Source organism: Homo sapiens, chromosome 5 (assembly GCF_000001405.40).
Source record: "Homo sapiens chromosome 5, GRCh38.p14 Primary Assembly".
Classification (NCBI taxonomy): domain Eukaryota; kingdom Metazoa; phylum Chordata; class Mammalia; order Primates; family Hominidae; genus Homo; species Homo sapiens.
The window spans coordinates 43,618,116-43,639,920 of NC_000005.10; the positions used below are offsets into that span (position 1 = coordinate 43,618,116).

The following is a 21,805-nucleotide window of genomic DNA, read 5'->3' on the forward strand; positions in this document are numbered from 1 at the left end:
AAAGAAAAGATGATGCATATTATTTGATTTATTAAATAGTTTGTTTCTTTGGCTAAAACACTTAATATTCACTGAGCATTTTCTATGTGACAGGCTTTATGCGAAGTGTTTCACCTGCGTTATCTCATTTAGTCCTCACGACCCTAAAAGATAGATGCTTTTTGTCCTTACTTTATAGATGAGGAAACCAAGGTTTAGAAAATTTTAAAAATTTGCCCAAGGTCACAAAGGTAATCAGTCAGAGAACTAGGACATGAACTAAGGTCAGTATATCGGAAAATCCCATACTTTGAACCATTAGAGATCAAGGGAAGTGTTTCTTCTGTTCTCCGAGGTTGAAATCTTATTTTGTACAAGCCTATGGCTGACCTAATTTTTTTTATTTTAAGGATTTTCCCCCCATTACCTAAGCACTACCCAGTCATCAAACAATATTTGGACTATATAGTAAAGTAAGTGTGAAGGATGTATAGTCCTAGTACCCAAAGAAAACCATTGTTAGTATTTTCCTATCTTTCTTTCATTACATTTTCTATTATGTTCTACAGTACTTGTTATGAAGAGGGTGGGTGCATAATGGATAAGAGAGTGCCTCTGTAGGCAGACTGCCTGTGTTAGACTTCTGGCTCTACCATTTACTAGCTGAGTGACCTTAGGCAAGTCTCTCAGTCTGTATCTCAGTTTTCTCACCTATGGGATGAAGACAGTAATTGTACCTTTCCATAGGCTTGTTGTGCAAATTAAAGGAGCAAGTGTATATACAACACTTAGAACTGTTTTTGACACATAGTACATACTACATAAATATTAGCTATTATTCTTTGACAAAACTTCATTGATGACTTATGATGATATGTGAGTCTGAGATCTCTCCTTTTATGGAATTATTTATTTATTTATTTATTTATTTTTAAAGTTATAAGGCTGTTGTCCTAGCAGCAAATCATTTTGGACGTTTTTTTACTGGTCAGATCACAGCTGCTGGAAAAGTTCCTCCAGCTAAGGTAGGTACAACTTTTAATGTTTCTTTATAATATGCATTGATTAAAGGAAAGGGTATGTATAGTCTTAAAATACAGTTATTTAAAAATTTTTATATGTTAACCTCACTGATGACTTTTTGGTGTGTATAAATATTTCACGAAACCTCAAAGCTTAACGTTTAAGATTGCTAGAAAAAAATGAACTTTGACTTTCTGAAAGTTCTAGTCTTTTCTGTTTTTTGACTTTACTAATTTGAATTTTTAAAAGAATTTTGGATAACTTGTTCTCTGTAGCCTATATATTATTAATTTTTAAAAAAAACTTTCAAGATACCATTCAGCAGATTCTGGGTTTCTCAATTTTTGCAACATTTTGGCACATATACAAGGTATTTTTGGTTTCTTCACTTCTTGTCAATTTTTGGATCAAGAAGACAGGAAATGGGAGGTGGTGTAATCAGAGTATTTGGCAGAGAGAAATGGTGCCAGTTTCTTTAATCCACACTGAAAGCAGAGAGGAGCAGTTAACGATGAGAGGTGACGATGGCTTGCTGAAAGAATAGGAGGTCATATTGTGATCCTTCAATCCTATGTACACTCAGTAACAATGGAAACCCTGAGGCTAGGTGTCTTAGTCCATTTTGTGTTACTAAAAGAGAATACCTGAGACTGGGTAATTTATTTTAAAAAAGAGGTTTATTTGGCTCATAATTCTGGTAGCTGGAATTCAAGATTTGGCAGCTGCATCTGGTGAGGGCCTAAAGGCTGCTTCAACTCATGGTGGACAGTGTAAAGGGAGCAGGCGTGTGCAAAAAAGATCACATGGTGAGAGAGGAATCAAGAGAGAGAAACTGAGGGAGCCAGGCTCTTCTATTAACCCCCAGAGTGAGAACTCAGCCCCCCACTCCCAGGGAGGGCATTAATCTGTTCATGGGAGATCCACTCCCATGACCCAAACACCTCCCACTAGGCCCCACCTCCCAATATTGCCACATTTGGGATCAAATGTCAACATGAGTTTTCGTGGGAACAAAGCACATCCAAACCACAGCACTAGGTACAGGAAACCTGACTTTAAATGTGATCATTTACCTACCTGTAGGTTACAGGTTAACTGGTGCTTCCTGCTCTTTTTTTTTGAGACGGAGTCTCACTCTGTCACCCAGACTGGAGTGCAGTGGCATGATCTCGGCTCACTGCAAGCTCCACCTCCCGGGTTCATGCCATTCTCCTGCCTCAGCCTCCTGAGTAGCTGGGACTATGGGCGCCGGCCACCATGCCCGGTTAATTTTTTTGTATTTTTAGTAGAGACGGGGTTTCACCATGTTGGCGAGGATGGTCTCGAACTCTTGACCTTGTGATCCGCCCGCCTTGGCCTCCCGAAGTGCTGGGATTACAGGCTTGAGCCACCATGCCCGGCTGCTTCCTGCTCTTAAGTACTTTGTTATATAAAGCCCAGAGTTCTCACACAAAATAAATCTCCTGGAAAAAAATTAAAACAAAAGCAAATAGTAGCTTTGAGAAATTATATTGTTTTGAAAAACAGGCCAGGTGAAAAAAATGGCAGGCTGTTTAAGTGTAGGCCAGAATACTTAGCAAGAAAGTGTGAGCAAACAACACAGACGTGAGATGTAAAATGATTAAATTTTGACTTCTTTCTCAGGATCATACAAAAATGTCTGGCATGCATAGTGGCCAGAAGTTCGATGCTGTTCTTAAATTGACTGAATGCTTTGATGCACAAGTCTACTACTAATTTTGGTTATAATCTTTCTAGATATATGTGGAAGTTGAGAGAAAAGCTGTGAATAAAAGATATTAAAAAGTGAAACAAAAGAGGCTTAAAGAAAAGAGAATCAGCCTTTAAAAGGTGGAAAAGTGACTATCTTTATTGAAAATTTAAATTGCAGCTTAAGGGACTTTGGTTACATGACAGAAATAGTTTTCTGAAATTGAAGGCACTGGTATAGCTCATTAAGGTGGATTGCATAATACTGTCTTTTATTTGGATTTCCTTTAAACATGGAGGGTTCTTACCTGTCTAGAACAAGTTTGTTCAAGCCGCAGCCTGTGGGCCACAAGTGGCCCAGGACGGTTTTGAATGCGGCCCAACACAAATTTGTTAACTTTCTTAAAACATTATGTGATTTTTGTTGCCATTTTATTTTTTTGGCTCATCAGCAATTGTTGGTGTTAGCTAGTGTATTTTATATGTGGACCAAGACAATTCTTGTTCCAGTGTTGCTCAGGGAAGCCAAAAGATTGGCCCCTGGCCTAGATTGAATGAAAATCAATCAGTTGAAGGCTTATGATATGCGAGGCATTGTTCTAGGAGCTGGGGATATGGCATGAACAAGACAAAATTCCTGCTGCATAAAACTTACACTCCAGTGGGGGTCATAGTGAGGAGACAAAAGATCAAATAAATACCTGAGATAATTTTATTATTATTATTATTTTTGACTTGGTTTTTTTTTTGGAGGCAGGGTCTCACTCTGCCTGGAGTTTTCACTCCAGGCTGATCTGGAACTCCTGAGCTCAAACAATCTTCCTGTCTTGGCCTCCCAAAATTTTGGGATTACAGGCATGAGCCACTGCACCTGGCCATGAGATAATTTCACACAGGAAAAAAAATGAACCGGATGATGTGACAGTAATGGGCACAGGCCACTTTAGTAGAGTGATGGGGAAGCTTCCTCTGACCTTTGAGGTGAGATTTGAAGCATGGAAGAAGGAAACAGGAGTTTAAGGATTCCAAGCATTTAGGATTCCAGTATTTAGGTTCTGGAAAAATAAAGAATACCATTGGTCTTGGAGTGTGGTGAACAAGATGAAGAGTGATCTGAGATCATGTTGGAAAGGAAGGTCTAGGCTGGATCATGTGGGTCCTCTCTTCTAGGTCATGTTATAGACTTTGGATTCTCCTGCAGGTGAGGGAAATGTTTGGTTTAGGATTTAAAAAAATCATGTGGCTGTTCTGTGGGGGAATGGATAGTAGGGTGAAGGCAAGATCTGTCAGCAATTGGTTGCACCTGGGACGATGGCGGCACCAGAAATGTAGAGAAAGGTGAAGGATTTTATCTGGATTAGGGATGATCTTTGGGAGTTAAAACCAGTACTACTTGTTGATGAACTGGAAATGGAAATATGTGCAAAGGGAGGAGTTGATGAATTCCCCATTTTGGCTTAAACAATTGTGCATAGTTACTGCCTTTACTCAGATGGGGAAGGCCAGAGGAGGGGAAGGTTATATGAGTGAACACGAGCATTGTTCCTAAAGTTATTTCCTTTCTCCTGCCCTTTCCCATACTATTTCTTTTTTTAAAAAAGTTTTTATTTCTTATTTTTTAATAGAGACAGGATCTCACTATGTTGCTTAGGCTGGTCTTGAGCTCCAAAGCTCAAGCGATCCTCCTGTCTTGGCCTCCCAAAGCGCTGGGATCACAGGCCTGAGCCACCTGCCTGGCCCCGTACTATTTCTTGAGCATATGCCTACGGTGTAACAGTTAGCAGTAAGTGCTTCGGTTAGATTCCATTGTTTAATATAACAACAGTCTGAGAAGGCACTTTGATTGCTGTATTGCAGATGATAAGCAGCTTGCCGAAGATCACCCAGAACTAGTTAGTAACAGAGTCAGGATTTTGACCTAAGCTCTCTGACTCTTACTCACTGTGTCTTTTTCTTTACTCCATGCTTTAGAGAGAAAAAGTAAATTTCGATAGTAAGATCTGCTGCTTTTGTGCGATTCTGCTTTTTTAAATTATGGTTTTTTTTTTTTTTTGTTATGTCTTGATTCAGGATAACTTGGCCAAGTCCTGTGACTTTTACTTATTTTTATTTACTTTTTCTTTCTTTCTTTTTTTCTTTCTTTAAGTGGTGATGGAGCTTCTGTGTGGAAGAGTTTGGTGCTTTGAAGCCTAGAGCCTGCTTATTCCCTCTGGTCACTCTTTGCCCCATTTCCTATAGACTTACCCCTGTCCCCAAACACAGCACCAAACACCCCATTATCAAGATCAATTCACATGACCTCTGAGACACTGCCCAGAGCTCACTGGAGCACAGTCTGACTAGCCTAGTCTTTGTAAAGGCAGAAGGACATGTGGGCATGATGGGTGGGTGGCAATTTGTAAGCTTCACTGATTCTGTGGGTGGCATTTTTTTTCTACAGGAACAAAGTGTTGCTTTCAATTGACTGTTTATGGGATATATAACAGGACTTTACTCTGGAAGGCCCGTTCCAGACTGGAGACAATGTTCTTACTTTGTTTCTTAGAAGGCGGGGGTAGGGGGAGACTTGTTTCTGAGGAATTTTTTGGTTCTCTTGTTGCTGATCCTTCCATGATTAGGGACATTAGTTACATTGCTTCAGACTTACGGAGAGTTGCTCAAAATGGTTCAGAATTGTGGTTGCTCATCAGCTGTTCCTTTCAGAAGCATTTTGGCTGAAAATAGAGGTTGGGGTAGATGTTTCACCAATGTTGTACCCATCTTTGAAATGTGTTTTGATGTTTGATGAACAAAGAAAAACCTTATAATTTGATAGGGTAAAGGTAGTTAGAATGCCACACTGGGACTTTTAGTAGAAGGAACTTTTAGACAGTGGAAAAGAATCTGTTAATCTTCAACATACGTAATGCTGATCATGCTTAGGTAGTTTTACACGGATATTCTGATTATTAGGCTATTTTTAGTGAATTGTTGTTGGCCTTTGCTAGCAGTTGTTTCTTTGATAAAATTTCAAGATCAGTGGTGGTTCAGTTAAAGAATAGTCTATGTACTCCATACAGTTACTAAGGGCTGATCATCATTATCACCATCTGCACCGCCATTTATTGATGCTAAACTTATACTAGGCACCAATAATTGTTAGCTGATGATTTTTCATTATTAGTTGATAATGAGCCTTAACACATAACTGGGTCTGTCTTCTAGATTCTGATAGTTGGTGGTGGTGTTGCTGGGCTTGCTTCTGCAGGCGCAGCAAAGTCGATGGGTGCAATTGTTCGAGGATTTGACACAAGGTGAGTGCTTTACTAGTGACTGATGTTAAGGTAAAAACATTTTGTTTCAGGGGCATATTATGATTGCCTTAAAACTTGTAAATTGAAGTAGCACATTGCAACTGGTCTATAAGCTCTTTCCATTTAAAAATGTTTCCACTTTTTAAAAGTTAATGCAAAGTGAAAATGTATTACTTAAACTAACAACTCACAGCTCTGTTTTCTTGGGTGGATTGACAGTGGGACCAGAATTCTTTCTATCCTGAGTTTCTAACATGTTGCTTTACCTATTTCTGTTCAGAATGCTTTTAGGCACTAGTTAGGGCATAAACAAAGATGTTTGTGAATCTGAAGAAAGAGTAAAATAGCAGGCTGAGTTGGGGGCATGCCCTACCGTGAATGAATAGAAGCAAATAAAGCTGACTGGCACTTCACCTGACTAGCAACGCATGAATTATTTATGCTGCATTATTTATGCTTTCTGTGTTTTATGTTAAGATAGAGCTGCATATATTTTTCTGATAATTTTTGAGCCCCTGGGTGAAAGTACTTGGTTATGTATACTGTGTATTTCTTTAATGCAGACATATACACATTTTCCTAGATTGTCTTTAAAGAGAAGTTTGATTAAAATTCTTCTTCATTTCAGAAGACACTAGACACTGGATTTTATTAAATGTCAGTCGAGTACAGTTAATATGTGTTTTAATAATTTTTGAGGTTGAAAAATGTAGTCATTTATTATCAGCTGAGGGTACTGGAGGAATAATACTACTGTTAATCTTGAACATAGAATGATCAAAAAAGAAAAAAGCAACCATTCAAAGTTGGAAGAATGTGACTTTTCAGAGTAAAGAATGTTCCATAGAATATGGTTAATAGTCTTTATCTAGAGTTAAAGTGATATACTGATAAAAAGCTGTCCTGCTGAAATGAGAAAATAAGGCATTTCCAAAGTAACCAGGACACAAACCAAGGATAGCTAGAGTTAAGCATGCCATTGATCCTGTCATTTTATTTTTACTGTTTGTTGATGTGAAGTTTTCTCAAGACCTCCAAGCCCATAGAAAGCCGGTCGTTTAAGTTTTCATTGTAGTGGACAGTAGTATTAAAATGGAAATGTATGTATTTGACTTAAAGGTGATTTGAAACTTGGTGGTGGGTGAACTACTGAGAATTTAGTATATTGATGTCATTTTTTAGATTGTGTACAGAATCAACAGCTAGAATATGGCTGTTGCTTATATTAGAAAAATACAAAAACTCAATTTTTCTTTATAATTTATTAAGTTTGTTATACGGGTATCTCAAGTGTACAATGAAGAAAGATGTGGCTGAAGTGATTTAATACTTTTCTAAGAATTATAGCTCATTAGTTACTCTAGTCACTATTTTGAGATGGGTTTGGTTTCATATTATAAATATGAAATCCAAATGTATTGGAAAACATACTTGATTTTAAATTCTTGTTGGAAGATTGAGTGGTATGTATTTTCAGTTAAATATCCTAAAAACTTACAGACAGCTCATTGCCCAATGGTATTTAAATGGTCTGATTTTTGAATTCTTTCAAACAATAACTAGGAGATACCCCTCTTAGCAATAGTGATTATCTTGCCTAATGCTTGTATCACAAAGTTTAAATATATAAAATCCTTGCTTTCTTTCCTATCATAAAATAGTACATGATTATTCTTCCAATTCGGAAAAATGTGAAAAAGCACAAGAACAGAAAATAAAATACCTTAAAGTCTCACTGCCTAGAGATTTTTTTTATGTGTTTCCTCATCTACACATTAATTAAAAATGTAATTTTACTGTTCCATTTATCTTTTTTCAATTAACAGTAGATCATGAAGATCTTTCCTTACCTATAAATATTTTTAGTGGCTGCAGAAGATTCCATTGTATAGAGAAGTACAGCAATTTATTTAACTAGGCCTCATTTTTTGCTATATTTAAACAATACTCTGTAGGTCAATATACATATACATGTACATACAGTAAGCCCTCTATCCATGTTCTATTATCTGTGGGTTCAACCAGATCAAAAATATTCAGAAAAAATGATTGTGTTTGTACTGAGCTAGTACCAATTTCATTTTTCTTGTCATTATTCTCTAAACAATATGGTATAACAACTATTTACATAACATTTACATTTATTAGGCATTATAAATAATCTAGAGATGATTTAAACTATTTGGGAAGATGTATGTAGGCTACGTGCAAATACTACACTGTCTTTTATAAGGGGCTTGATCATCCGTGGATTTTGATATCTCAGGGGGATCATGGAACCAATTCCCCATGGATACTGAGGGATGACTTTATATCTGAGAACATACATTTATGGAGATATCTCATTATTTCCTTAGATAAATTCTAAGGAAATATTGGAATCAAAAGATATACACATTTTAAATGCTAATATGTTATAATGTTTTTAAATTATGAGATTATTTTATGGGCAAAGATATAACTACAAAGATTTAGAAATAGCTTATATTTCTAATGATGCATATTCATTATTGAAAAATAGAGAGAAACATAAGGATGAAAGTGAAAATACCTTTTATTATTCTATCAGCCAGATATAATTGCTAGTGATATTTTGGTGTAATTTCTTATAGAAATTATATATATATAACTTTAGAACAAAATTTGGATTATTTTATATACATATATGTATGTGTATATATATGTATATGTGTATATATAATATATATGTCTGTGTATACACACATATACACACATATATGTATGTGTGTATATATATAACATATAAATACAAATATAACATTTTGAATTCATCTAATTCTTATTAATATTGGTAGACAATTCTGAAGCTTTTTAAAGAACTATATCCCTATGGCTGCCACAAATGGAACACCAACTCAGATTGGCTTAAACCATTAGAAAATGTATTATTTCTTCTAACTGAGAATCCAGGGGAATGACTTCCTTTTCACATTAGAGTGAGATGCTCCTCCGTGCTATCAAGGACCAGTTTCTGTCACTCCTCTCTGCTGTCCTTGGCTTTGTCTTCCTCCTAAGGCTGATTCCACTTGTGGTTGCAACTTTACCTCCAGGGGGCAATCTGGGCTACCAGATTCCTTGCTCAAGCCAGCAGAGGGAGAACCTCTTGCTCAACCATGGACTGTATGTCCTACCCTTTATGCATACTCTTGAACATGATGGTTGCTAGGGATTTATTGGCTCAGATCACGGTTTCCCAAACTTCCCTGATGACAAGGATGAACTGCAGCTCTTGCTAAAAATAATATAGTGTCTGGCCTGCTTGCTGGAGATTATAATTCACTGGGTCTGGGAAGGGGCCTGGGAATTTGAATTTTTAACAAGTACCCTGAGTGATTATTGTCATTAGGGGGGTTTGAGATTTACCATAGTGGAATGGATATTGATGAGTTACATGCACGTCCACCACAGAACTGAGGTGTTTGTTGGCTGTGGTTTTCCAACCAGGAGACAGTACTTGGGTAGCATTTATTTATTTATTTAAAACTGAATTTATTTTTATATAATTTAAATGTGTTGGCTTTTCATATTTTACCCTTTACTACTATTTATAGGTTACTTTTTGCAAACACAATTTAATAAGGACTGGTTGGGGGGTAAAAATCACTTTATTAGAATAATTTTACATATAAAGAGTTATTTTTGTGGGAAAGGTCTCTAGTAAGAACAAATTCAGAATATTTACAAGTGAAAAACCTCATCCTGAGTGATTTGAATGATATCAAATCCTGATGTATATGAGGTATCACATCATCATCCACATCGGGGTCATAAGGAACATAATTGATTACTGGAGTTGGCAATTGTGAAATCGCTTTTGCAACTTAACTAAGTAGAAGTTGGAATTCTCAGTAGTTTTTTTTCTTTCAGAAAAGAATATTCTCATAAATATGTTACTTGCCTTTAGAAAAAAATTGGAACAATTAAGTACGAAATCAAAGGGACTGTTGACTTTTGAATATATAGTTTGTTGTTCTTAAAAAGGTATATGTAAATGATGATCTTGACTTCTTTATTAGGGCCTGAAATAACTACTCTTTCCACTTTAACAATCACCCTAGAGCTGCAGCTTTGGAACAGTTCAAGTCTCTTGGTGCTGAGCCCTTGGAGGTGGACTTGAAGGAATCTGGTGAGGGACAAGGAGGATATGCAAAAGAGATGTCCAAAGAGTTCATTGAAGCTGAAATGAAACTCTTTGCTCAACAATGCAAGGAGGTAGACATCCTTATCAGCACAGCACTTATTCCAGGTATGCCATTAAGTAAACGGTTATTTTAAAAGCACTTTTACTCTTTTTTTTTAAAAAAAAGCGAGAGTGAATGATTGCTTAACATTTGAATTTCTTTAAGGAAGGATCTAGTACTTTCTATTATAAAAGTACTAGAAAACGAGAAAATATATGACAAAATTCATAGTCATTAATAATTTCCTTCAAGTATTTTTTCTGTGAAAAAATTTTTTTTTTGAGATGAAGTCTTGCTCTTGTTGCCCAGGCTGGAGTGCGGTGGCATGGTCTCAGCTCACTGCAACCTCCGTCTCCTGGGTTCAGGCGATTCTTCTGCCTCAGCCTCCCAAGTAACTGGGATTACAGGTGTCCACCACCACGTCTGGTTAATCTTTATGTTTTTAGTAGAGTCGGGGTTTTGCCATGTTGGCCAGGCTGGTCTCAAACTCCTGACCTCAGGTGATCCGCCCGCCTTGGTCTCCCAAAGTGCTGGGATTACAGGCGTGAGTTACCACGCCTAGCCCTTTTGTGAATTTTTATATAAATTCATAGATTATACTGTGTGTACAATGTTTTTTTTTTTTTCCGAAGAATAAAACGCCATTTATTTAGAAAAGATTATTATTACTATTATTTTCTCTGCAACTTAAACAACTTCAATAGCTTTTGGGGAGCAGGTGGTGTTTGGTTGCATAGAAAAGTTCTTTAGTGGTGATTTCTGAGATTTTGGTGCACCTGTCACCTGAGCAGTATACACTGTACACAATGTTTAGTCTTTTATCCCTCACCCCCCCTCCCACTCTTAACCCCTGAGTCCCCAAAGCCCATTATATCATAGCTTAGCTTCCACTTTTAACAATGTTTAGTTTTTAATTCCTGAGTTACTTCACTTAGAATAATGGTCTCTAACTCCATCCAAGTTTCTGTGAATGCCATTATTTTGTTCCTTTTTGTGGCTGAGTGGTATTCCATGGTGTGTGTATATATGTATATGTATGTTTATCTACTCGTTGGTTGATGCGCATTTAGGCTGGTTTCATATTTTTGCAACTGTGAATTGTGCTGCTATAAACATGTGTATGCAATGTCTTTTCTATATAATGACTTCTTTTCCTCTGGGTAGATACCAAGTAGTGAGACTGCTGAATCAAATGGTAGTTCTACTTTAGTTCTTTAAGGAATCTCCATGCTGCTTTCCATAGTGGTTGTACTAGTTTACATTCCCACTAGCAGTGTAAAAGTGTTCCCTTTTCACTACATCCATGCCAACATCAGTTATTTTTTGATTTTTAAATTATGGCCATTCTTGCAGGAGTAAGGTGGTATCTCATTGTAGTTTTGATTTGCATTTCCATGATCATTAGTGATGTTGAGCATTTTTTCATATGTTCGTTGGCCATTTGTATATCTTCTTTTGATAATTGTCTATTCATGTCCTTTGTCCACTTTTTGATGGGATTATTTATTTTTTTCTTGCTGATTTGTTTGAGTTCCTTGTAGATTCTGGATATTAGTCATTTGTCAGATGCATAGTTTGTGAAAATTTTCTCCCATCCTGGGTTGTCTGTTTACTCTGATTATTTCTTTTACTGTGCAAAAGCTTTTTAGTTTAACTAAGTGCCATCTATTTGTCTTGGTTTTTGTTACATTTGCTTTCTGGTTCTTGGTCATGAACTCTTTGCCCAAGCCAGTGTCTAGAAGAGTTTTTCTGATGTTATGTTCTAGAATTTTTATCGTTTCAGGTCTTAGATTTAAGTGTTTGATCCATTTTTGAGTTAATTTTTGTATAAGGTGAGGGGTGAGGATCCAGCTTCATTCTTCTGCATGTGGCTTGCCAATTATCCCAGCACCATTGCTTGATGTATGTACAATATTATATTCATAAGCAGGTTCCTCTGCTCAAACCCTTGATAAATTGATTGTTAATTTATTTACATTTTCTTTGTTAAGATACTACCTTCTCCTTGTAGGAAATTCAAACTGTGGTGATAAATAAGAAAAAAAATACAGATCATTTGAAGTTCTACCAGAGAGATGACTGTTATTAATATTTTGATCATATTTTTCTATATATGTGAGAGAGAGGGGACTTTGTATGTATATGTATTTATGGAATTTTCAGTGTATATTTTTACTTATGGGAATGACCCTTTGTCAGTTTTAAATTATTTCCTTTGACATGTTTTCAGCCAAATTGTGAGCTTTTTGATGGTAGGAATTACTTTCTAGTCCCTTTACAAATCTCCTTCTAAAGAGTATTTTGTACTCAGTGCATGACTGATGTCAAACCAATAAGTGTTTATTAATCAGTAAGCAGTAGCTTGATCTAACAAGATTTGGGAGTGAAGAAACTGTCCACCTTTTATAGTCTCACCTCTTCTCTTCACCTATCCTTTCCTTTTGTTATTGAATAATGAATACCATACTGACTCTAATTTTTTCCTTTCTGAAAGAAAGTGGGTCATATAATGAGAGCTTAAAGGGTTCTTGGTTGCTTATGTTAGATCCTAGTGAAGGAGCCTCACTTTCTCTGAGGTGCTGTGGAGAATTAGAATTTGCTTTGTCATGAGGCTATGAAAGAGGAGAAACTCTCCTCCAGTAGCTTCCCCCACAACAAAAAACCTGGCTAATATAAACCCAAGGACAAAGAATTGATTGGCATCAGATCTGTGAGCTTGTTGGGGAAAACAAGCCTTCCAAATGTGTTTTTCTTTCTGTCCTCTGTTAACCCAGGTGATAGGTGAGCTCGTCTCTCCAGATAACCGCATCCCCCCAGAGCGGCTAGATGAAGCAGACAGGTAGGAGTCTGATATGGGGGTTTCGGCAGGGCTCAGGCAATGGGAGCATCTGTAAGTGTAGGAATGAGGCCTGTGGTTGGTTTCTGGAGGTGCATGCAGATCAGACAAACCCCGGACCCAGGATAGTGTTTGTGAAATCTGTCAGTGAAGACATAACTCAGGCACAAGCAGTGTCAGGAGAGCACTTCAGGATTCATCCTTTCCTTGTGTGGCAGTGGCTCCTGGCTCAGCTGTTTCACAGGTGGTTCTGAGGAAGGAATGGGGTGACATATGCTGCAGCCACCATCTGACCTCTGAGAGGCAGCTGCGCATTAGCGGGGAAGTTATGAGAGGATTAGATGTAACAAGTGGCCAGTAGAGGGTGCTAAAACATTTACTCATGGAGTAAGCCATGTGGATAGGAAGCTAGTTTTATTTAGTCAACTCATACTCTAAAGAGCTAGGGATAATTTGAATAGAGTATATAGATTTATTATTGATTACAGAGCTAGATGTCAGTGATAGTACTCAAGATTTATTTTATAAACACATACTGACTTTCAGGGCCTTCCCCTCTCCCCATAATATTTTATTTTTTATAAGTAGTTTATAGTTAGCATACTTTAGTAAAAGGTCAGACTGTATGACAGTCTTGAAGACTAGTTGAAGAAGTTTTATTAATCTGTTCCACTAAGCCTTTCTTGTTTTCTGAAGCCACGATCTGAAGATTAATGTGAACATTAAATTTACAGAAAGTCCTTGATCAGTACCTCAGCCCAGAGCTCACCCTCAAAAGGCTGGCTGAAAAAGGCCTTCAGTTTCTTTTGGGAAAAAAAAAAAAAAAAAAAGGGAAGAAAGAAAAAAGTGAATTAGAATATTATATGGAAGAAGGTGATTTTTCTAAAGATCTTTCCTATCTCTGGGGCACTGAAAACGGAAAGCATGAGCATTTAACAAAAATGACTGAAAGAGTACATGAAGGTACAAATGCCCTTTGGAAAACAATATCCTTGGCATTATACCTTTACTGGTTTATGTCCTGAGCCTTTGCCTGGGTCCCCTGATGATGTATCTGACTCTTGAATGACCCTCAGAGCAGAAATTGTTCTGAAGTTTTCCTTGAGTGGATTCAAAGGGGATTAAGTCAAATGTCAGAAATTCTCTAAGCTAAGATTTATAGACTGAGATCCCTGGAAGGCTGGACTGAAGGCCTGGTGTGGATAAGAATGTTGAGAGGCAGACACAGGTAAGTAACTAGTTTCAGGGAGCAACTTTACGGAGTTAGTAAATTTTTATTGTCCTAGGTATACGTCACTTGGTGGTCTTGAAAAAACAATGAACTTGTACTTACGTAGATTGTATGTGGAATGAGATAGTTCTGTAGCTAGCTAGTTGTTATGCTGCCTGATATCTTAAACCGTCATCTCACCCCCCTATTGGGTTGAGTGATGGGTTAAAGGTGAGAATTTCACTTAATGCAGGTAACTTGAGGATGGGGCCAAGCTGACAGCCCCGCTTTGTGGTGCTGTGCACACAAAGAAAAGCTCTCTACTTTCCTGTCCAGCTCGTTGACCTTTGGGGCTACCATTAAAAAGTAAGGCAGCCCTGCTGTCTGGTAATGTTCAGGCTGTGCTCATAATCTTTTCTGCTAAGCCTTTTGAGACACAGGATTTTTTAGCATCCCTAGTGATCTGAAACCCTTTTAGAGAAACTTTTCATAGACATAGAATAGTTAATCAGGAAGGGACTGAATCAGGTTGAAAATCTGATAAGTACGTTGGGGAGGGGAGTATGGTGTGGGGTGAGAAGGAATCATGGTGATTTTGCACTGACTGTGTCTTGGGCAAATTTCACCTAAGTTCCAATGAGAATGAAGAGAACTATGGAGCACATGCTAAGTCCTATACCTTCCCAGCTCTCCCGTTTCCCACCTCAGGTCTAGTCCTTACTAATTTAGGGGAACCATAGCTATTCTAAGGCCTGGGTTTTTGTTTAGCAATGATGACAGTAGCTTGGGCGACTTGGGTTCCCAGCATCATTAGATGAAACAAGCCATCTAAACTGAACAGAGTTGGATCATAGTCTCCCACTCCCCAATTACCTGTGGTATAAAGTTTGCATTCCTTGGAGGTATTTCTTGGCTTTCATTATCTGGTCCTGATTTAGCTTTTGGGTCTGGTGTTAAACTAATATCTTATTCTCTGGGCCTGATTTCAGCCATGTTGACTGCTATTATCTCCTCAAATGGGCCAAGATACTTTTTTGCCTTTGCACATATTGCTCCTTCTCTTTGGAATACTATCCTTGCCCTTCCCTGCTTTTTGAAATCCTACTCAACTCAATTACTACATCCTCCATAGTTTCTATTGCCTCCTGCTCAGCAGTAGTGTTCTTTTTTCTTTTTTCTGCACTCAAAGAACTTTGCTTGTTCTTCCTATTACAGCAGTGCTTAGTCCCATCATTCCTCAGTTATCTTGTCTCCCAGTGAGTGCAGCAGGAGTCTTTGATTTATGCCAGCGCTTGGCATAGTGGTTTGTACACAATGGTGGCTTAGCAAATGTTGCTGAACTAATAATTCTGGATACCTTCCTTAGGTCTTGGTTGGTACAGTTCCTTTCATTTTTTTCAGTGCTGTCCCCAAATTCTTATAGAACACTCTGTTGGTTCACTTTTGGATAGGAACATTGCAGAGGCTAATTTAAGCTTGGGAACTTAACTTTCTTAAATTATTCAAAACTGGAACACATGCCCAGTCTGCAGTTTGAGGTGGCTGGCTAGCTAGACCTCTCAGGAGATAGAATTAGGAAGTAGTGGAAGGGCTGTTTGGGAATTAGAAAGTGTCCTGTCAGAGAGGAAGGAACATATTCATTGCTTGATTGTAAATTAAAATACCTTATGCCATATGTACTTGTGTCTCTTTTTAGGCACAATCCAGATTAGGGTGGCCATACTTTTTGTTTTTATCTATACTTGTTAGGATCTGTAAAATACACCCCTCAAAGGATGTGGACTTCTGTGGTAATTTTCCATGTCTCTGGAGAATTGGGTGGGAGGTGTTTTCCTCCAATATGCAAGTTCCTTACATATATGAACCTGAGATGTTGCTTTGTTCTCCATCTGTCTTGTTAAATTTATCTTTCATATGGAGTGGAAATATAGCGCAAAAGAATGACTTTCCATAGTAATTGTTGAAACCTGTGCTTTCGGGCAAGAGAGTGATTGATACAAGAATAACTATACTCTCTAGTTGTGTAATTCCACAAAGAAATATTGTTTTTGATGACTAAAGTTTTTCCCAAAAGTAAGGATTTATTATTCATTTTCTTATTCTGTATGCATTATGATCATAAAGGACAAAACTATATGCTATAGATCAGTTATTCCCAATTCTTTTATATTACTTTTTTTGTTATCTGATTCATGTTCGGTAATTCCTTCCCTTCAATGTATTTTATGATTATATAGACTTTTGTAATATTGTTATATAAAGTTTCATTTGTTTTGAGGATATTGAAGACATTTTGAAGAACAGAGAGAAACTTAAGTGTTGCAACATCAAGGGTTGGTAACCACAGGCTGTCTACACACCTCTTCGTAGCTTTCAATGCAGATAGAGCAACTTGTCCTCAAGTGGAAGATGCCAAAACTGTGAAGTTTTCCATTGCTATTTATCAGTCTTGTTCTTAGGGTGTATTTGAGCACACTTTGTGAGTGACTGGGCCAGATTTAACAAATGTTCTGTTAGGAAAATTTATGGCATCGTTATACTTTGGTTTGGTTTGTTATTTCTCCAAAAGCATGTTGCAATATTGGTATGCATTATGCTTCCTTCCTGGCTTTCCCTGGGTTGTAAAGGATTGGGAGACTGAGGCTGTCTTTGGCAAAGCAGCACAAATAGCGTTACTGCTAATGTACTAGTACTTCCCTACCATATGCATTGCTGTATCTCCTTCCTTCCATTTTCCTTATAGTTTCTTGTGCTTCAGTATTAGTTAGGGTGGTCTAGCCCTAAATCTATGAGTTTTGCTATAACAGATTAATCCAACAATGCATAATGGCTCTGATGTTACAGAAATTAACATCTTGCTTAGTAATAGATAGGTTCACATATTGATGGGCAGCTCTTTTTCATATGGTCATTTGGGATTCGGGTTAGGACAGTGTTGCCATCATCATTATGAGGCTATGAAGGTTGCTCTGGGACTGTCTCTATTTAAGCCAGCTATAGGGAAAGTGGGATGGAGGAGTGTGCATGGAAGGCCAGGAAGTGGTACACATCATTCTTGCTTTGCATTCTTTTGCTAAGACTTAGTCATGTGGCCAAACTTAACTGTGAAGGAAGCTGGGAATTGTCTAGCTCTGTGCCCAGGAATAAGAGAACATTGTATTAGTGTGCTAGGGCTGCCATAACAAAATACCACAGACCTAGTGGCTTAACCAACAGAAATTTATTTTCCCAGAGTTCTGGAGGATAGATGTATAAGGTCAATGTGTCTGTGGGGTTAGTTTCCTCTGAGCCTCTCTCCTTGGCTTGTGGTTGGCTGCCCTCTTGCTGTGTCCTCACATGGTCTTTCCTCTGTGTGTGTGCATTCCTTGTTTCTCTTTTTATGCTTCAATTTCCTCTCCTTTTAAGGACACCAGTCAGATTGTCCTAGGGCCCACCCTAATAGACTCATTTTAACGTAATCACCTCTTTAAAGGCCCTGTCTCTAAATACAGCCATATTCTGAGGTATTGGGGGTTAGGGCGTCAACATAGGAATTTTGCAGTGGCCACAATTCAGCCCATAACAAATGTAGATTTTTGTGCACAGCTAACAGCCTCTTTCCTCTTCTCTACTTTGTAATTTTATGTGTTAATGTTTAATCTGTTCATTGGAAAACAGAGGAAGGGTCATAGATTTAGAGCCAGATAGAGTAGATTAAAATTCTGGTTCCACTACTTAACAGCTGATTTGTCTCTCTGAATATCAGATTCCTTATCTCTGAAATGTGGATAAAAATTTCTACCTTGCAAAGTTGTTTTGAGGAATGAAGAAAAAGCCCAGTGTAGGGCTGGGCATAGAGAACATTATTGTAATTCTTTCTTCCATTGGCGATGCCTCGTCTTCTGGATGGTACCCAGGACACAAATCTTACTGACTTTTGCAATAAAAGTCCAGACATTCTCAAGGATTATGTGGACCATTGAAGATGGTGCCTCATGAATCCACCCATGAAGTTACATAACCAGTATTTATTGGATGGCAATGTGGCATGGGTTTCCCTGGGGAGAAACATGACTTAATTGTTTTTGATATGAATTTGCTGAAGATATCCATTTTATTAAGGCTGTTTTCCCAGTTAACCTCATTCTGACCTAAGTTGAAAGACGTGAGAAAGAAAATAAGCAGTACTGTTTCTATTTTTTAAAACACTTTTAAATTCTTTTGTAGTAACAAAATAATAACATCAGAATGCGTAATACAATTTTATTGCTTCAATTTTTAAAGGATTTTGGTAGCTAATGTACATCTATACATATGTTGGAGAGAATTCAAAGAATGCTATAGTTTCTATGAGAATGTATATTTCCTTATTTGTGCTACCATTTAAGTTTGGAGAATTCCTGTAACCTGTGAAACCATGGTAAAATCTTGACTAATTTTGCTTTTTATTTATACAGAATTTTGCAGCTATGAGAGGTAAATTATTAAGTTAATCCTTTCAAAATTTTTATAAACATGTTCTTTAATTATGAGGTAAAAGCTTGTGTTTAGGTTTCTTCTTTAAATAGATCTTTAGGAATTTTTCTAATTTTCTAAAATATGCTGTTGACTAATCATATTTCAGAAGTATTACATTTAGAAATATCTCAAGGGGTCCAGTTTGTAAAAGCCAACTATTTGCCAGCCTGACTTTCTGTCTGGTTCCTTATACAAATAATTATGCAGACAAAGTTTTCCTGTGGTTCCAGGGATAAAGCTCACATATAAAGTACTCTGCTTGACTGTTTAAGCTTGGGCCAGAATCTCTTTAGGCTCATGAACACAGCTTTCATATCTGTGATAAACAGAGTAGAGGGGTTGCTGTATGTACTATGGAGCCAGCTAAATCAGAGACTCATTAGATAATGGATCAGTGGATTAGATGTTCAGCACTTTCTTGCCATATTCTATATTTTACATAATCTATCATTTCTTATTCTCACATGCATACATATATGTATAAAAACCCTTTTGTTATCATTGGTAACATTTTAAAAGCTTAAGACTCAGTACTTTAACCCCATCAGTGATTTTGAAATGCTAAAAGAGATTTTGGTATGGATCCATTAGGATGCCTTTAGCTGCCAGAAACAGAAATTCTAATACAACCTGCCTTAAGGTAGGTGATTTCTTGGGTTCTGTTAACAGAACGTAGTCCAGTTATAGCTGTGGATAGGTGTGGGCTGGGACACTCTGACTGTGCTCCTTCATGCTTTCCTCTCTGAGTTGGCTTCATCCTCAGTGCTGTGCAGAAGGCAGCAACAATTTCAGGCTCCAGTGTGTACAACACAATATCTAGAGGAGGTAGTCCAGTGCTGATGGCACCCTCTTGAAGAGCAAAAAGAAGGAAACTTCTTTTTCAGAAATCCTTAGCACATTTTCCCTCATTTATATTAACCTTGATTGATTTATGACCATTTCTGAACCAATCCTTGTAGGTAGGGCAATGAGATGCACCTCGGCTTACACCTGGATTTCTGAACCAGTCACTAATAAGGTGATAAGATTACCCTTAGGCCTTCCAGGCCTGCCTCTGGAGTGGTGATATGATTTGGTTGTGCCCCCACCCAAATCTCATCTTGAATTGTTGTTCCCATAATCCCCACGTATCACGGGAAGGACCAGGTGGAGAGAATTGAACCAAGGGGGCAGTTTCCCCCATCCTGTTCTCGTGATAGCGAGCTAGTTCTCATGAGATCTGATGGTTTTATAAGGAGCTTCCCCCTTCACTGGGCACTCATTTCTTTCTGCTTCTGCCATGTGAAGAACATGTTTGCTTCCCTTTCTGCCATGATTGTAAGTTTCCTCAAGTCTCCCCAGCCTTGCAGAACTGTGAGTCAATTAAACCCCTTTCATTTATAAATCACCCAGTCTCGGCCAGCAATTTATAGCAGCGTGAGATCAGACTAATACAAGTGGTTTCTGAAGTCATGTCTCCTGAAGCTTGTGGACTGGGTGGAAAAATGAAAATCAGCATAGTGATAAAAGGAGGAAATGGATACTGAGTAGATACTAACAATACTCAGTGCAACATTATGTTGTTATAATGAAGGTTCTTACTGTGTAAATGATAAAGTTCAGCCTATCTTTCTTTACCTGCTCTATTTTACATTTAGTCAATATAGAGACTACATTACATTAAAAACTGTCCTTGTCTGCCTAGTACTTGTTCATGAGAAATCTATTTTGGTTTGGATTAATAGATTCTATAATTCATATTATTTATTTGCTACTGTGGAGCTAAATATCTCATGTTTTTGTTAAAGCAGAAAGTTTTGTTTTTTTTTTTTTTTAGACCCTCTAATTTGATGCCTTACAGGTCAGGAAGTTAGGAATTTCCCCATCTGATTACATGCTGTTGAGTAATTCCAGTAAATGATGCTGAATGCTCCTTGGAATCATTATAAAATTTTGTGGTAAACCCATTTCATCTTCATGTCTTGTTATTTTAAATATTTTTAGTGGTTTCTTCTTAATTAATTAATTAATTTTTTCTTTTTGGTATGATTAGAGTGTGAGGGCTTGGTTCTTTTCCCATTAAGATAGAATCTGGGAATTTATTGATTTCAGATGATCATGTTAGGCCTGATTCATTCAAAAAGATACAATATATTACAGAATTTTCTGGTAAATCTTTAGTCTTTGGTATTTAATTTAAGCTGTGTGACTCTTTTTGAATTTAGTGCTGTAAAGAAGCCAATGATATATTCTTTTGCTACATAGCAATGAGTTGTTAAAGCCATTTTTAGAAATTAGTAATTTTTTCTCCAGTCACAGATGAGAAAAAACAAAAAAGCAGAACTTAGTTTTTCTAGCAGCTCCTTATTTTAATACTTTCAAAATTGCATCTTAGTATTCATTTATTGAGAAAATACATGGTTGAGAAAAGATACTGTGAATTCAGTAACATTTAAAAATGAATTTACGTGAATCACAGCCATATGTGCATATATCAATAAATAGAACACATGCATGAGGCAGTTTTTCAGTCTACAGTCAATTCATGGTGCACATGGAGATTCAAGGATGCCTTACACTAACCTGTGGTACACTTATTCACTCCAAATAACTGCCAACCAATTGGGAAACTATAATTCAAATTTTTACATGAGTGCTTTAAATATCCAACTCTTCTAGTAATAAAATTGTTGACCAACCTTTGAATGCAGCCACTTTTAGTTGTAAAATATTAGACTCTAGAGCCTAAGTAAAATTTTTCTTCCTCCATCCACCCTGCATATGGGAGGCACTAAATAAGTATTAATTATGTCAATGAATGAATGAATATTTGAATGATGACTGTGAGAGCTTGATGTCCTACAGTTTTCTTGGCAAAAGTGTGGAAATAAGTCCCTCTGAGAGGGAACTGAGTAACCCTTCCAGGGGAACTTAATGTCCATGAACCAGAAGGGAGCAAGAAATATTTCATAAAGTTGGATATCATGCCAAATCCTTCACCCACAGTTGGTATTGTGTCAGAAAATATTTCTTAAAATTTTCTCTCCTTGTTAATTTTATTCTGTCACAGTGACTG

General features: G+C 37.3%; 1 protein-coding gene across 7 annotated transcripts in view, besides 1 other annotated feature; it reads left to right on the forward strand.

The window, feature by feature from the left end:
- NNT (nicotinamide nucleotide transhydrogenase) overlaps positions 1–21,805 on the forward strand; it is a 104,722-nt gene that overhangs the window by 15,441 nt on the left and 67,476 nt on the right. For all 7 annotated transcript variants that reach the window (NM_012343.4, XM_005248274.6, XM_017009293.3 and 4 more), the window contains 3 exons: positions 917–1,004; positions 5,917–6,005; positions 10,085–10,272. In NM_012343.4, coding sequence (NP_036475.3) covers positions 917–1,004; positions 5,917–6,005; positions 10,085–10,272 — 365 coding nt within the window. The remainder of the gene's footprint in view (positions 1–916; positions 1,005–5,916; positions 6,006–10,084; positions 10,273–21,805) is intronic.
- Positions 13,172–13,466: an enhancer, noted in NCBI's record as "tiled region #11344; K562 Activating DNase unmatched - State 25:Art". NCBI's record gives its function as "activates a minimal TATA promoter and a strong SV40 promoter by Sharpr-MPRA in K562 cells {active_cell/tissue: K562}" and the evidence as "EXISTENCE:reporter gene assay evidence [ECO:0000049][PMID:27701403]".